Below are 17,668 nucleotides of genomic sequence, written 5' to 3'. Positions count from 1 at the left end.
AGGTAGTGCTGAGGTCAGGACAGAGTTATGTTTTATTGTGACATTTATCTCAAAATGTATTCTGAGAGAGATCAGAAGTAACAAACTTCAATTTCTTGACCTGTATCAAAGAGGAAGTCAGTCTCAGATTCATTGTACAGCACTTCCATTCTATAGATTCCTAGGCATAACACCAGCTTCATCCGGTGAGGCCTTTAGAAAAAACCTTCCAGCCACTCAGTTGAATTATCTATTACATTTAATGAGGAATCTTGACAAATCGGGCCCACACTCCATGTCCACACCAAAATGAAAGTGGCTTTTCTCCACATCTACCTTGGAAGAATGATTTAGAATTCAGATAATATTTAACTTGGAGTCTAAACAGGAGGTTCCTGGCTTAACAGAGTTCTGTCTTCCTTATGAGTTCCTTTCTACACCAAGAGCTGTCTTGGCTTTGTGGTCAACCTTCTGACCCCCAGGCATTGGGATAGGTTTCAGTCATCAGGAGCAAACCAGGAAGTAAATCTAGATTTCAGCAAGCTATCCAAATCCTCATGAATGTTCTACGTGTCTCTTCCCTTTGGAAAATTCTTATGTGTAGTCACACTCTTCAGGATTTCTGTAGTTAGTTTTATGTTTTCAGTTAAACTGGTTTTAAGGGGAGTTTTTTGTGAACTAATTAAAAATAAGTGTTTAATTCTAAATATTTCTTAAAAATTGAGCCTTATTGTTTAAAATGATACAGTTCATAAAGCAATCATTTGCTTGGATTACATACTTTAAAATATTGCCAGATTTTTATTAGGGAGAAACCTGATTGGACATTCACCTAATAAATGTATTTTTTCTGATATAGTCTTAGAAGACAATACGTTTAGAATTGAGCAAGCCAAGATAACAATAGTTAACAATTATTTCCATTTATACTTTTTGTCAAAATAGGAGTTGGGATGAGCAGGGTAGAGAACTGCCTCCTTAAGATCATACTGTTATCATTACAATTCTACAATGTTTCATTATCATCTTCTCCACATTTTGCCATTTTTTCCTAAAGCTTCTTATTTTTCCCCTTAAGGATGTACTATGTAATTTTATTCTTTGTTAAAATAGTTTCTTTTTTTCAAACAATTTTCCTAGAGGCAAGATGGATGTCTTCTCAAATATGAGAATTCAAATCAGGAGTTTTCAGCAATTTGCTTATTTGCCTGATGATATATTAAATATCAGTATGCTTTTCCCTCAAGTTTTAGTGACTCAGTGCCTTCCTCTTTGCCTCAAAATCTCTTTAAGCTTATATATGCCATTGATGTGATTAATAAATTAATTCTTTAGATCTTTTTTTCTTTTCTTTTCTTTTCTTTTTTTTTTTTTTTGACAGGATATCACTCTGTTGCCCAGGCTGGAGTGTAATGATGCAATCATAGCTCACTGCAGCCTCGATCCCCTGGGCTGAAGTGATCCTCCTGCCTCAGCCTCCCAAGTAGCTGGGACTACAGGTGTAAGCCACCATGCCTGGCCTAGATTTTTAAATAATGTTTTACATTTCCCTGGAAAAGAATTAGAGACTTTTGGGAGAGGTCAATTTGAGTCTTTAAAATGTTTCTTAGCAAAGTACAATGCTGGTTCATGGGAATTGCCCATCTTTTCCAGATTTGCTCTAAAAAAAAAAATGCACTAATGCATGTTCAATTCAGCAAATATTGATTGCCACTTATCTGCCTGGTTCCATGCTTAGGGATAAAATCAGGATTAAAAGAATTAGATATAATCTCTACCACCCAACACAGTGCAGTGGAGAAAACAGGAATAATATCAATAACTATAAAACAAGGCAAATCTCAGTAATTAATGGGTTAGTGATATAAACAAAAAATGAAATAACAGAAAAGTAATACATTCTAAATGTATGAATTAGAGAAGGTATTATCAAGAAAATGAGCTTTAAGATAGATTTTAATAGGCAAGTAGCTATTGATGATTTTTAAGGAAGCAAAGATTCAGAGGTATAAAAAGTGCTCCAGGCTGGGCGTGGTGGCTCACGCCTGTAATCCCAATACTTTGGGAGGCTGAGGCGGGAGGATCACGAGGTCAGGAGAACAAGACCATTCTGGCTAACATGGTGAAACCCCGTCTCTACTTAAAACATACAAAAAATTAGCCGGGCATGGTGGCACACACCTGTAGTAGTCCCAGCTACGTAGGGAGGCTGAGGCAGGAGAATGGCATGAACCAGGGAGGCGGAGCTTGCAGTGAGCCGAGATCACACCACTGCACTCCAGCCTGGGTGACAGAGTGAGACTCCGTGCTCCATATAGCTGAGAAACAGCATGACTCAGAATGACTACATTCCTGGCCATATGATGAGATTATTGAGAGATGAAGACTTAATGTAAATTGGATTCATATGTTTGAAGGCTTTTAGGTTATGCTAAGCACTTCAAATTTTTTTTCTTTAGACAATTAGGAGACATTAAAATTGTGTGTGTTTCTTTTTGTAATCATGGGAGTGATATAATTACATCTGTATTTTAGAAAGATGGCTGTGATTTTTTTAAATGGAATATTAACAGGCAAAAAAAAAAAAAGATTAATAGCCAGGAATCACTTAGTAGGTTTGCAACAATCTAGAAAGATAAGTCTGAGAAATTGAACTAATTGTGGTAGAAAGGAAACTAAGGGAATAATGCTGAAAATGCTTTTGGATATGGAACTACAAAGACCTAGAGAATGACTGAATGCTGTTATGGAGAGAAGGGTGACAATGCTATTGCTAGACTGGCCAACTAGTAGATAATGATGCCGTTAACTGAAACAGGGAATAGAGAGAGGAATAAAGATGGGTGTGTACATGCTAGCCTTGCAGGACCAGTAGGACTTTGAGTGGGAAGACCCTAACTGATGGTTGAAGATGTTTTCTGGACTTCTAAACAGAAGTCAGGATTTGGGGCAGAGATTTAGGAGCTGTTTGTTTACATCTAGATAGTTCTTAAATGTTGGATAATATCATAGAGGAGAAAATATAGATGGAGAAAATAAGAAACCGGAAATCCAATATTTAGGCAGCATAGTTATATTCAAGGAGTAGGCACAGGAAAAAGAGCTTCCAGATGTTGTCAAAAAAGATAAGAGAGAATCAGGAAAGGAGTTGGGAGATGAGGCAGGAAAAGGCCTAAGAAGAGAAGGTTGGCAATGGCATTGCAGTGGCAATGAGATGGAGAGGGGTCAGAAGAGGCTGCCAGCTTGACTGTGCATGCCCAGAATCCCACTCTCTGAAACCTTTGGGCTGCATGCTTCAGAATTAGCAGTTTCCAGATTTTAGAAACTTACGTGAGTACATATACCATTGATTAGAAACATTAATATGTATTCAGTGAGCAGTATGAATAGTCTTCCCAAGCAGAATAACTAAAACCTATAAACAGCCCTTAGATCAGTACAAGTTATGTTTTGCTATTGAATAGATTAAGAGAAAACTCAGCTTTCAGAGTTTCTGGACCTAAGAATATGATGAAGGCACTGTTGCAGGAAATGAGTGGAGGCTGGACCACAGTGGATGAAGAAAATACATCTAAAAGGTGAGGAAGCCAAGGCAGATATATAGTTTTTTTATTAAAGGAATGAGAGCAAGAGAGAGGGATTGTTTGAAGGAGAAGCCATGTCAAGGAAATGATTTTTTTTAAAGATATTAGAGCATTCGAGCTGTTTTGTAGGTAGAGGGGAAGTAACATGGAGAAATGAAAACATGGACAAATAGAGAAAAATATAACAGAAATAATGGAAAGTAAAAGGCCTCAAATGAGATAGAAGGGAGGGTGGCCCAAGAGCACAGGGAAAGCCAGCAGGTAGCCTCCAACGGGGCTTCCTCTCAGACTCAGACTGGACCTAATGGTACAAGGTTAGAATAAAGGAATAGAGAGTATAGATTAAAGGAATAGAATATGGTATGTAGTCTATATGTCTTACTTTTTTAAGAGAATCAGTCTCTTTGTAGCCTATTGCCAGGGTAAACCTTATTGCAGACTTCATATTCTAATTTTATCAAAAGCAAACACATTAATTATTTTCTAACTCTATCAAAACATTCATGCACATTCATTTACGTTTATCTATGACAGACATTGTGCATTCCTACTTGTGTTGGCTTTTCTTTGGAGTGGCACACTTTATTCAAAAAGACAGATTGGTTAGTATAAATGGTATAAGTTGGTTAATATAATTAAATCTAAAATTATAATAATAGTAAATATTATTATAAAGAAATCAAAACTGCTTTCTCAGAAAATTGTCATCATTATTTTCATTGATGAGTTTCTCCCAGCATGAAAGATGTACGTTTTAGGGACCGTGCTCTTGTTCAATTTAACATACAGAGGAATGCCACATAGGAAAAAAAGAAAAAACAACTTGAATTTCTTGGAGCTGTAGTTGACCAAGTAGGAGAATGATTCATATTACTTTCCTGTAAATATTTCTATTTCTTTCCTTTCCACTGATTTCACCTGCTTAGGAAGTCTGCTATGACAGTTTATTAAATCATCACTTCACGGTTAAAAAGAAAAGTGCCAATTTTAGCAGCTGGAATCCACATTACCCCAGCCTAAATTCCTCAGTAAACTAGAGCAGCAGTGAATAATGTATTTACAGTATGGTGGATTTATTAGTACCACATCTCTTCTCAGCTTCTCCTTTCCTTAATCCCAGCTCCTTTTTGTTTGGTGTAGTACTGTAACTAATTAGAGTATTTATAAACTAAAGGCTGCTTTGAATGTTCATGGCCTTCACAGAGCTAAATCAAAGTGCCTTCTTCAGCCTCAAGATAAACATTTTGTTTCATTTACAGCTGGAAATTTCTCATATGTTACTATTTGAATCCCAAAAAAAACCACATGCAAAAGCAAAATGTTCACTATTGTGGTGGGCTTTCTCTACCTTATCAACCACTAATCTTTTTAAAGTTTCCTTTTTTCTTTAAGAAAACAATCCATATTTTCAAATTCCCTTGGATGTTACCTTTTAGCTCATAAAAGTTCTGAGTCAAGTTTCTGTTCAGTGTACCAGTTTTCACAATTGTAATTTCACTAATACTTAGCAGCCTAGTCTAAGAACAGATGTGGCATGCAAGTTAAACATGATTCCCAAAAACAATAAAAAGAGATTGTTCATTTTATATAACCTATTTCTCCACTAATGGTAAAGTGGTGCTTGGCCACCTCATAATAAAAAAAAAAAAAAAAAACAGTTTCTTCATCTTTCTTCTGAGGCAGAGTTCTAGCCTGAATCATAATTTTTTTTCCAGCATTATATAAGATGCAAGGAAATTACATTGCCTGACAAAAAGACACTGGTGTGTATGAAAGGTTTAGTGTGGTAGGAAAACCTTTCATTGAGAGAGTAGGCCTGGGTAGGTTTGTGGGGAAACTGAGTTGAAGTACTTTACACTATTTGTGGAATGAGATTTTGTTGCAGAAATCTGGTACTAACAAATAGACAAATCACCCTAATATTTTCCCCACTGAGAAATACGGTACCAAGTTTCCAATCTACTGTTTAATTTTGCTAAAATAGAACACAAACATTAAAAAATATACTGGATTTCAGGCACTGCATATACGAGTAGGCCTATTGTTCAGCTGACATTTTTGTCTTGTTTTCATATGCTTATGTCAAGCATGCTTGACACCTAATATACTGGAAGCCACATCACTAAAGAAGACAAAAATGGCAACAGCTATCATTTACTAAGTAACAAGCACTATCATTAACTTTACATGTGGTATCTTCTAATGACTAGCTGATTCCTTTTGCTTCATTTTCTCCCCCCAGCAACGGTAAGTGCCATTTAGAATAAGACTGTGTTATCTTCTTACATATTCAAGATTTTTCCATTTCTTATTGTTTCCCCCAATTTGTAGCCACTTTTGTACTTTATCTAAGATACATATTTTTTGTTGCTGTTAGTGGACTTTAAGCATGAATATCAAACAGCAGCTAACCACTTTGTGCAAAAACTGACTTTCTATTTTGAAAGCCACTTGAGGGAGCTCTACCTCATTGTTTAATTATGTTAGCTATCTCCTCCTCTTCCTCAAGGAAGACTTCAAAATGAACTGTGACTGACTTCGTTTCTGTTTCACTGCCACCAGAACCTTCCCTGCACGGTAACATTTTTCCATTTTGAAGAAAACAGGCATCTTCTCAACTTTGGTCATTAACCATTGTAAAAATACTTTTGCTTCATTCATGCTTTCTGGGATTTTTATATCTGTGGGTTAAGCTCACTCCAGTTGGGTTATTTAGAGTATGCAGTGTTTTATAATCTTTTTCTTTCAGCTCCAAAAGATGTGCTCCTTCCTCATAAACCATACCCTGAGGTCTCTCAGAGCGAACCTGGTAAATTAATTATTTCATCCTTCTGGCTAAGAAGTATATTTTTCAAAAAAAAAAATTCTTGAAGTAAATATATTTTTAATGGTTGTGATATGGAAGAAATTTAGAGAAAAAATATGGGTATAAAATGCATATTTCTTGTGGGTAAATTGAATCATCTGGTTGAAATATTTTTCCTTGGTGAAGTGAGGGAATAGTATATAGGTTCATTGAGTAGATCACGCTAAAATTATAAATATCATTGTTAACTAAGCCAACGCTTATATCCTTTCAAAATGTAAATGTAGCTACATTACAACTATGGATGTACTTTTAAGTAAAAAAAAGTGGGTGCCTACTCGAAATTTTCCCCAAAGTGACAGTGAATGAGAACTTCAAAGTTTTAGTTAAACTAAGTTCTCTGATTGGCATCTAATGTGAAGAATTTTCTCTTATTTATTACAATTCTTAGAGAACATTTAAATTATTAAATCAATGCATCTAAAAAATAAGGAAACTATTTTGACTTTGCCAGGTAGTAATTCTCATAAATATGTTCCTTTGGCTTGCTTTTGGCATAGTTCTGCAGCCTGTTACCTTTAGATTTGAGCCACCAAAGACAACAATAGGTAATGGTTTTCCCATATTGACCAACTCTGTTTTCTTTGCTACCATCAAGATTGCAGGCCTTTCTCAAATGATCCTGTTGAAACATCATTTCTTCTCAATCCATTCATCATTTCATTCTCATTATTATTACTCTTTCCAAAACAGAAAAGCAATTATTTCAGTGTTGTAATGGGTTTGCTTTGAAGACCACCTTAAGACATTACTGAATACATCTTCATTTACTTCATCTATCTCCATGTTTCAAAATGAGTCCAGTATGTTTACTAATGGTGCCCATTTAACAATTTCCATTGGTTTAGTGGTTCTCAGCTGTAATGTAACATACTAGTATGTGGTAAGTTTGAAAGATACTGCAAGTAATTATCAATATTGGTCAAAATACTGAAAATTCCCAGTGATTTGTTACTTGAGTCTACTCAAGCAGACTCAAGGAGATGATACCAACAATGATGATATTCTCACTCATTTGGTAATCATGCATGCTCTCTTGAACGGGGGAGAGAGGGACAGAGCTACAGCCAATAGTCCAGGACTGTGTCTAACCCACACCCCATCTCAACCAGCCATTCTGATGGATTGGTTCAAGAACAGAATGTCATGTAGTATGTGTCCTGGTGGAAAAACAGTTGAGAACCATTTTTCTAATATTCCGCAGTCATTTTTCTGAAAGTCGTGTGCACACTTAACTTTCTTCTTTCCTTTTTCTACTTCAAATGAAGGAATTTCATGTAATACCAATCTGGTCTGGTGCTGGCTTTGAATCTAAAAATTTACAACCTTGGTCCTTTTCTTTTTGCAGCTCCTCTAGAGACACGAGGCATCCCTTTTATACCCATGATTTCCCCAAGTCCTAGTCAAGAGGAACTACAGACCACTCTGGGTAAATTTCGTTTTAATATTTGTTCAAAGAGAGCTTGCCTTTTAGGAATTTCCCTTAAAGTAACCATAATACATTATGTTCACAGATTTTTTCTAAATAATAGGTTATTTAAAAATCCATTTCACTCAATACTTTTACATTAACTGTGTATTTGTCCTAATATTTATGCTGATTTTCAATATAAAATGAGAATGTTTTAACACATCTAAGATGTGTTAAATTGGCTCTGGTGATTAAGTGTGATTTAGAATACTTAAGAATTTTAAGTATTCTAAAAAGAAAAATGTTCCTAAATCAATGCTGTTCTTTTTTGTTGCTTTTTCTGTATTTTAAACTGCATTTGGGAAGAAAAATTACTTATCTAGTATTTATTAAGCCTTTACTGGGTGCACTGTTAGGTGATGCAGTTCTAACAAGAAACTTTTAAAGAGGAGTCCTTACACTAGAGGGCTCACCCTCTAATATGAAGACAGGACTTGGTTATAATACTGCAGCCTCTGTGCCACCCAATACACTACATGCCTTTTTAAAATGTAAACCATGTAACTCTGTGAAGTAAGTTCTATTACTTGTTCCATTTTACAGATTAGAAAATTGAGGCGTAGAGGGTTTAAAAGTTTGGCCAAGGTGAAACAGCTGGTGTCAGAGCCAGGATTAGAATCTACACACTCAGCCGACAGGGTGCCTAGGATTAACATCAATGTTATACTAATTACAATGAGTGTGATAGAGAAAAGAGCAACATGTTGAACAAACAAACTACCTGGAGAAATAAGGAAAGGCCTCTCAGATTAGGGTCATTTACACTGGGTCTTCAAGTTGGAATGAAAGTTGACCAGTCAAAGATGCAAATGGTTCTTTGAAGTTACGGACAGATGGGAAAGAGGCACAGGGCAAGGAATGACAGTTAGACTAAACTGATAAGCAGGTAGTTGCCTGGAGAAACAAGGATGGGTAAGTTGGAAAGGTCCACTGGGATGAGCTGAACATGCTTTCAAGGAGTTCAACACAAATGTGCTGTGTGGGAAACTCCAGTTTGCCTGCCTCTTGGTTGAAAATGAACCAAAAAGCTAAAGTTCTGGCTTGTGTTTGTTGGCTCCTCTCTCCTGTCTACATTGCATCCCATATGGCTTTGTTTAAGTCAGTGGCCCTATTTGTCTCCCTTCATTCCTTTTCTAATAATCCATCCTTTGTGGGTATCTACTGAAATAAAGTTACTGATCACATTTTAAAATAAAATCCTTTTGGAAGAAAAATTAAAATTGAGCAAATATATTCTAATCAAATATTCATCTAATCTAGCTTATTTCTGCAAAATCAATAGTGCCCATGATGGCAAAGTTAAAAGTACTTTTCAAAAACCACTACTGAATATGCTAATTATTTAACTTCTACTCCCTATTTTTCTAATGTGTCTTGGTTTATTCACATCAGAACCATTGCCTGTCAATTATCACAAGTGTATTTCTTGAGCAGAATCAAGAGAATACAAAAGCAGGACAGAAAACAAAAAGATAGCAGTGTATCATTTATACCAAGTATTTCCTTGGATCCAATATGGGCAAAGTGAACAGTGTAATTTGCTGTGTCTATATAATATATGATTTCAAGGTAACATGGGAATGGGAGTATTGCTGTATGTATTTTTTTTATTTTGTCAAGAGGATTGTGTTTGTATGTCAAACATACGCTCTGATTTTCACATGAGAAAAATAGAATATTTGTTTTATGTGATGTAAATATACATCTTTTCATATGATATACTTCCTTTCCAGCTCATCAAAATAACATGTGAGATTTATGGGCAGGAAAGAAACATGAAGGAGATAAATACATCGAGGCAACTAGGAGACTTTCATACATGAGCCATATCCAAGAATAGCCACAACTAGATTAATGATACAATGATCCTGAGCTAAAAGCTTTTGGAAATCCTTATAACAATCATTAAAATAATAGTGTAAAACAGCAGATATCATAAATGAGAGTTATTAAAATGTACCACTAACTTTGAATTATTGTGATTACTGAGTGTATTTCTAAATGCAACTTATCCTTTTATTATTGCATGGGACAGAAAAGAGTATGGGTTTTTTTGGTCATATTCATAATGTTAATTATTTAAAACAAGCAATCTTACTGTGTTTTCTCTAGAAGAAACAGACCAATCCACCCAAGAACCTTTCACAACTAAGATTCCACGAACAACTGAACTAGCAAAGACAACTCAGGGTAATCCTCTCCCCTACCTCTGGAGAATAACTTTTCCTTATTTGCTTTTAATCAGGAAAGAAATTTTCTTTCAGAATGTCATTTCTCAACACAGTGGATTACTTGACTTTTTTTGTCATTTTATAGGTGAAAGAAATCAGCCAAATCTGAATACTCATATGAATATCAATTGAATGTAGGCAAGACCAGTTCTTTCACTGGCACTTACTTTTTTTAATGTATTGTTGACTACTTGATGCTTATAACTAAGAGTGGAAGATCCCATTTTTTCCACACATTTGACCTTCATTTGCCTCGTTTTCCATATCTGATAAATAATAACTGTTGTCTTCCTCTTCCTGCTCCCTCTCTAACTTCCTCCTGGTCCTCCTCCTTCTCTTCTCTCCTTTTCTCACTTTCTCCAATCTTCCCCCATTTGATGAAATACATTAATAAGAAAAAAGCTATTAAAAAGAAAAATCATTTTTCAAAATTATGACAATATTTAAACATCCAGAGAAGTGATTTCCTACTTTTTATTTCTTCTCTGTGATTTTCTGCTTTTGGGGAAGTGAACTCGCCTACACAAAGCTCTATCTCATCTTCATGCACTCAGAAGTCTTTTCCTCTTTACACTTTTCTATCCTACTATCCTACTTAGGTTATAACACTTGTGGACTGCTAATACCCCTTTTGCCCATCTCTGCCTCTATCAGATGGTAGAAAGCCAAAAATAAGACCAAAACCAGCAAACATTTAGGGAGTTAGAACACAAATAAATGTATGTTGCCCATTATGAGTTCTAATTTGAGGGGGAAAGTTGGTGGGAGAAGTTTGATAATAAGAGGAAATGATAATGAAAGAAATCTCATTTTAAAGTACATGTGTCACTGGGGCAATATTTATTACAAGTAAACGTGACTAAGAAAGACTATAGTAAAGGGCAGTTCCTCTAAATTTTCTAAATCTTTTTTATTGTTTGTTTGGTTTAACTTTTTGTTACGTTTTAAACTTTTATTCAATTACTTCATTTAATTTTTATTTGCTGTTAATTTATAATTACACACAGAAGTCTGAAGTATAACATATTGACAGCCCTCTCACATCTCTATTACCAGCCTCAGCAATGAACAGATGTTCCGTTGTGATACATCCCTATTCCACCCTGATTTCTGTATGTTTATTATTTCATGTTTTTGCAAATCTCTTTAATTTCTGGCTTAAGAGAAGATAGCTGGATTCTCATAATCAATCTGTTTTTACCACAAAATACATAAATATTTACAACAAGCAGGATAAATAAAGACTTTCATTCCACACAGGTTGTGTTGCCAAATGAGAAAGATTTCAGCTTTTTAGAGATTTAAGGATTTCAGAATGAGGATAAAAGATCACAGGCCTGTTCTTTCCTCGTTTTGCCTTTTCCTACTTTAAAGAGAATATTGTGTCACCATTACTAGTATATATGGAATTTTAATCAAATTCCTTCAAAATATTGTATTAAATATAAATTTCACCTGTTATTGGGAGTATATCCATGATCTCATATCATTATATAAATTGTCTTAACATATTTGTACATGCTGACTTTTTTCTTATATCCTTAGCTCTTGTACTATGTTTAAAATTGAAACCCTCAAGGCCATATATTGTTTGGTGATGAGCTATATGAGTAAGTTACAACCTAAACTTAAATTATATTTAAGCTCTTTTATAAAAAAATTCTTTCTAGACTTAAATGAAGACTATGGAGAAAACTAAAACAAAAATTCAGATGCCATGGCTTTGAAATCATGTAGTGCTGATTATTTCTGTGGTCTACTCTCAATCTCTTTCCTGTCCAAAGTCTTAAAATTTATACATATTCTAGAATGAGACAAGAACTATGATTCTTATCTTTTTTAAGCAGAAGCAACCTAACATTCAAAGGGATTTATGTGGAAAGAAGAAATAGGCTAAATTAACAGGGAATCCCACCATCTCAAACTTGGAAGAAAAAAATTGCAAATAATCATCAGGCACTTTAGGGTCTGTGAGAATTAATTTTTATGGTTATTATACTTGGGAAGGCCCAAAATAAACCTATAGAGAATTTCAGTGTGTGTCCGCTGTTGTTGGTTTGAAGTATGGCAAAATTCTGCTCATCACAGTCTTTACATTGGAAGTTTATAAATGAGCTACATTATAACCAATTTCACAGGCATACTTTTTTAACTTAGTAGGCAAGGCATTGCTGATTTATGGCTATATAAATATCCACTCAATATGTGAATAAAATCATTAAAATGATGTAATCTACTTACAAAGTTTGCAAGAAAAAATTTTTCCAAAAACATTACCAAGAAAGCTGGTGGCAGGAGGCAGTATGTGATAGGGAAGTGGGGACAGGAGAAGCAGCATGGAATAGATGAATTCCAGGATGAATGCTTACCTTAAAACCTTAGGATGCATTAATATCTCAGCAGGTTCTCACAAGTTTGCCTGCATACAATGGTCACCCACTTATTCATTCCTTCAGCAAGTCTTCATTAGGATGCCTTTCTGTGCAGGTCCTGGATAATTGGCCCAGGGATTATCTGAGTTCTTGCTCCTTGCTTGTCCTCTTTTGATAGGCAGGGCACCAGATGTCATTTTCTGTCATTTCTACAGCATTATGGATGACACTGAGTGAATACTTACTTGTTTCAGGTTCATGAGCAAAGACCATTTGATAGAGACCATATACTCCTACTCTTTCTTCTTTACCTACCTAAACATTCAATCTCTTTTTACCTTTAAGATTGCTTGACTTCTTTAGCAAAATAATATTTCACAATGACTCTTCACTGAGAGATTAGATGGATGGATGGATGGACAGATGAACAGACAGATGGATGGCTTATGGGTTTATCATGCTAAGCAAACATCTGGTAAAATGAATGCTCTTGAAAAATAGGGACAAAATGATGACTAATCCTTAACACATCTTACAAATGAACTACCTCATTCTATGTGCATCTTTAATTTTCAGTCATGTATATTTTCTTTGTTTTATTTTCCTTTAGCGTGAAGTCTATAATGCATAATGGGAATTTTCTGAACCTTCTTTATACGTCCATGCAAAGTGTATGAGTTGTTGGTCCCTAGGATGCTAAATCTCCATTCAGGAGGCTTTGGTCTGTTGGTTATTAAATATAAAGTGTTCCTCTGTTTCAGCGCCACACAGATTTTATACTACTGTGAGGCCCAGAACATCTGACAAGCCACACATCAGACCTGGTAAGTTGTTTCTCTGATGACTTAAATAATCAGCAGGCAGGGGAAGATATGAAATGGACTGAAATAGCCAAATACACCAAAGGGGAACCCTTACATTGCAATAAGAGATGTACAGAGACTCTGATCTGTGTGGATAAGTGGAAAGGTATTGATGAATCCATAAATGTGACAAGACTTGACTAAGGATTTTGAGGATAATCAGATGCAGAGATCACTATGAAATTTTATTGATTTAAAAGTATTTAAAAATAGTGTTGGACAATTTTCCTGACAAAGAGGTTGCATAGAGTTAGCTATGACATGTTATTATTTAATACTTACTTTCAGATATTCTTTCTCTCTGAAGAAAAGAGGGTCTCTTTTCAGCACAGGAAAGCTCTTGTTCTGGGAGAACATTTTTACTTGATTCCTTCAGAGAATAAAAATATCACAAGTTATAAACAGCAAAAATAGTTATATATTGGGAAATACGTTAAATTTACTAAATTCTCCAAAGGTCCTAGGATTACCCTCATTGGAGCTTGTTCAGAAAAAAAGTTAACTTGCAGGGGTTGATCTAGTTCATGTAAATCACTCTTATGCTGAGGCACAAGTTGGACCACACACTGGTGTTTCATTTTCTTTTTCTTTGTGATTCTAAGGACTCTTAAAGTTCCAAATGATGAAACCTGCTACGAATGAATGTTCTCGGGGAATGCATCTTTATAACAATAATTTTATATTATTTGGTTTATGTAGAGTCCATATATTTTGTTATAATTTTCCAACTTCTAAAGATAATTGGGCACAGAAATCTTCTATAACCATGTGTATTTCTCTCTGACTTTGTGTGTCATGATAGGTGTTGAGAGCTTAATGTGAGACTGGTTATATTAAACATTTCTAAAAACTAAGTAGTAACAATCATGGCTAATAATGACCGAGCACTGGCCATGTGCCCTGTGAGGTACAGTTGAGGAAGCTGAGGCACACAGAGGAACTAGAAAGTGGATCAAAAGATGAGCAGTATGGCTCCAGAGCTTCTCACATAAGCACAGTACACTTAGTGCTCCTCCTTAAAGAATCTTCTAAATGGGTTATAAAATAGATCACCTCTCAAGGCTTTGGTAAGGCTATGACTTTCTCCCAAGCAGGAAAGAAAGTAAAATGGTTTCATCAAGTTCTGTGCTTGGCAATGGACTTTGTGAAAGGACTAGTATAATGAAACCTCTGTACCTAGGGATTCCCACAAAAGGATGTGGAAAGACTCCAACTTATGAATGGAGGCCTTGACAAATACATTTCAGATTTTGGTTTTTCATTAGACATATGTAGTCCTGATCTTTCTTCAGTTCCATTTTGGAATGTATCTAATGCCTATAAATGAAACAAGATCTTTCCCACTTCGGATTATAAATTCCCTTGCCAGTTACTTTTTCAAGTCAAGTATTGAAGCCCAGTGATCACCTCAGAATACAAATTCAGGTCTCTATTTTCAAATTCAAGTCTATTATTTTTATACGAGACTGTGGTTTCTATATTCTGAATAATATTTTTGGTAAGTCATCTTTTTTATTGCCTAAATGACTTTCAATTCTCTGAGAAATTTTGTTTTTCTCGGCTGCAAACTTTCAATAAGAAAATGAACTATTTATATCCCACTTTATTTTAGTTCTGAATAGGACAACTACAAGACCTACTAGGCCCAAACCCAGTGGGATGCCCAGTGGGAATGGAGTGGGAACAGGTAATAATCACAAATGTATTTCCTTTTTATCCTGTCAAAACTATAAGTGTTATTTAATTTTCATGATATTGCTGAATTCACATTTTAATTTCCTTTTTACCAGTTTTTAAAGTTCTTAGTAACTCTGTAACTGAAAATTATAACTCATTCCAAAATCAAAACTTCAAATGTCTCTAAAAATAGTGAAGACTTTTTCACTTTTCTAAACCTAGTCTACTAGTTACTATATATAATCTTGCTTCTGAAAACGATCCTGATTAAGAATAAATTGAGTGAAAACACTAAAAATAGCTATTTCCCCTAATTTCAAAATGCTTTTTCTACACAGACTAGTCTTTGAACTGTAATTAGTTGGTTTTTAAGTTTATAATTTACCAAGTACCATTAAAATTTTTTTTGAATAACTGCATCTGTTAGCAATCTGGAATATGAAATTTAAACAACAAATATTTAATCAGAGCAATTCGCATCTGGTTACCCTGGTAACAGTCACTAATGTTTTCAAATCATTCATCTTAAATAACATAGCTCTAATCTAATCAGATCTCTGGGAGTAAGTATTATGCTAGAAAAACTAGGACACTGATCTAATAAATATTCAAACACCCAACTTCATGGATAAATGGTAGTTATTTAGATGCCTTAACATAGAATTGTATCATTCCCTTTAAATATTTTTAGTAGTATAACTCTTGTGTTTGCTTAGGTAAAAAAATTAAAATTTATTTAATGTATATATATCTGATGAACCCATGACGGTTCTCTAATGAAAAAGAGATGTGAATAATACCTAGAGATATTTAGTCTACAAATTATTTAGCTTTAAGAATGTGCTTTTTGTACTTGATTATTACAGTCTCTGAATTTCTAGGAATTCACTTATCTTCAAACCAAATAATGAGGCCAATACTATAAATTCATGACTTATGAAAAGCAAGAAAGCATCTCAATATCTATTTGTGCTCAGCTACTCTTTTTATTCTGCCCAACTGTGGGATTAGATGGTGCACAATTTTTCAGATTGACATAAGCAATCTGGCTGTAAACGGAGCCACCTTCTCTCAGATCCTTTTGGGAGGAAGGCAGGTACAAATTGTTTAATATTCAAATAATTCCTTGGAAGTTGCATAAGTAAAAATAAAAGCACTTAGATGTCAACCAAGCAAATGAAAGAACAAGTAAAGTAGCTGTGATCACACTTGAAAGCTACTAACCTTCACTATAATACTGATTCTTATTAGGAGCATGCAATTATCTCTCAGGGAAACAAACCATTATTATATTTTAGCTTATCAACAATATAAATATTCTTCCAAAGCCCACTTGTATTACAAATGGATATCTATTACCTTCTTATATACATAAAGTCAACTTTATAATAATGTATCCAACTTAGCTTTGGAAGAATAATATAGCAGGGCTTTTCAATTTAATTTGTCAATTGTTGGGAGAAATTGGGCTGGTGGGCACAGGTAGACAAAGCTGAGCTCACTGTTTCCTCTTTCTTTACTCCACCTCCATCCCCAAACAAAATTTTTTGTGCCTGGTCTATATTCTTTTATTTGTTGATTGGGATCCCCTGTCAAGGAAGGACTTGCTGCCTGCCTGCAGGGAGTGAGGTCAGCAGACGGCACCCAGCTATCATCTCCCTCAGAGTAAGCTTCAACCAGAGAGCACTGAATGGAGATCTGGGCAGTACATCTCCATGTCAGCCACAGTAATTTATAGCAACCAAATGGAATTCATCCTAGGAATGCAAGGTTGGCTCAACACTCAAACAAATTAGTGTAATTCACCATGTAACAGAATAAAGAAGAAAAATCATATGATTATCCAATTATATGCACAAAACAACCTAGACAAAATTTTAAATTCATCCCCAATGAAAGCTCTCAGGAAATTAAGAATAAAAGGAATTTTCCTCAATCTGATAAAGGGCATCTGTGAAAAAGCTACGACTGCCAAAATTCACACCAGCAGTAGTTGTGGCCGAGTGGTTAAGGCAATAGACTAGAAAAAGCTGCAACTAACACTGTACTTAATGGTGAAAGACTAAACACTTTTCTCCTAAGATGGAGAGTACAGCAGGGATTTCTATTTTCACCACTTCTATTGAATATAGTAGTGAATGTTTAGCCAATGCAGTAGGCAAGAAAAGAAGTAAATGGCATAAAATTCAGAAATTATAGATAACATGATCATCTATGTAGCATATTATTATGGAAAACAACAGCTCTCAGATATTTGCCTAGAGAATACTATTTTCAAAAATTGGTGAGGAAAAAATGTTTAAAAATCTCTCCTCTCCCGGTTGTAGACTTACCTTAGTCCACCTTCCTTTGATTCTGCATAGTTTTGATCAGACTTCTTTATAGAAATGCAGCTGTTCACAAAAGTTTCTTTTCTTCTCTGACACAATTCTACTGTCTCATCCACACTTTCAGCCTCTGTTGACTCTTCTAATGCATCATTTTTGTGTTAAATGGTTTCATGTTCAGCTTTGACATCTTACTCAGAATATTTATCTTTATTATCCATCTCACATTTTCCTATAGTTTTTCTTGCTGAAGTTTTCAACTCAGATATTTCACATTTTAAAAAATTAGTTAATAAAG

General features: G+C 34.9%; 1 protein-coding gene and 1 long non-coding RNA gene across 57 annotated transcripts in view, besides 2 other annotated features; one reads left to right on the top strand and one right to left on the bottom strand.

Moving 5' to 3' along the window:
* Window positions 1–17,668, top strand: part of ABI3BP (ABI family member 3 binding protein) — a 244,266-nt gene that overhangs the window by 190,641 nt on the left and 35,957 nt on the right. For 39 of the 56 annotated variants that reach the window (XM_006713572.4, XM_047447922.1, XM_024453445.2 and 36 more), the window contains 6 exons: window positions 6,313–6,372; window positions 6,930–6,977; window positions 7,778–7,858; window positions 10,013–10,090; window positions 13,265–13,327; window positions 14,979–15,053. In XM_006713572.4, the coding sequence (XP_006713635.1) occupies window positions 6,313–6,372; window positions 6,930–6,977; window positions 7,778–7,858; window positions 10,013–10,090; window positions 13,265–13,327; window positions 14,979–15,053 (405 nt within the window). The remainder of the gene's footprint in view (window positions 1–6,312; window positions 6,373–6,929; window positions 6,978–7,777; window positions 7,859–10,012; window positions 10,091–13,264; window positions 13,328–14,978; window positions 15,054–17,668) is intronic. The other 17 variants (XM_047447925.1, XM_047447918.1, XM_047447924.1 and 14 more) reach the window with 7 other exon arrangements.
* LOC124906260 (uncharacterized) lies at window positions 2,268–16,295 on the bottom strand. Its single transcript, XR_007095986.1, has 2 exons — window positions 13,649–16,295; window positions 2,268–12,712 (listed from the first exon to the last, which is right to left on the bottom strand). It is a non-coding gene; the product is annotated as an uncharacterized LOC124906260 (long non-coding RNA).
* Window positions 4,382–4,676: a silencer, noted in NCBI's record as "tiled region #7106; HepG2 Repressive non-DNase unmatched - State 24:Quies". NCBI's record gives its function as "represses a minimal TATA promoter and a strong SV40 promoter by Sharpr-MPRA in HepG2 cells {active_cell/tissue: HepG2}" and the evidence as "EXISTENCE:reporter gene assay evidence [ECO:0000049][PMID:27701403]".
* Window positions 6,485–6,654: an enhancer, noted in NCBI's record as "experimental_63759 CRE fragment used in MPRA reporter constructs". NCBI's record gives its function as "activates a minimal promoter by MPRAs in K562 erythroleukemia cells, with activity observed for both the introgressed and non-introgressed 3:100515056 variant alleles {active_cell/tissue: K562}" and the evidence as "EXISTENCE:reporter gene assay evidence [ECO:0000049][PMID:34662402]".

This window comes from Homo sapiens, chromosome 3, assembly GCF_000001405.40.
Source record: "Homo sapiens chromosome 3, GRCh38.p14 Primary Assembly".
In the NCBI taxonomy this organism is placed as follows: Eukaryota; Metazoa; Chordata; class Mammalia; order Primates; family Hominidae; genus Homo; species Homo sapiens.
The sequence above is the reverse complement of the archived record's forward strand: the minus strand, read 5'-3'. Positions and strand labels throughout refer to the sequence as shown.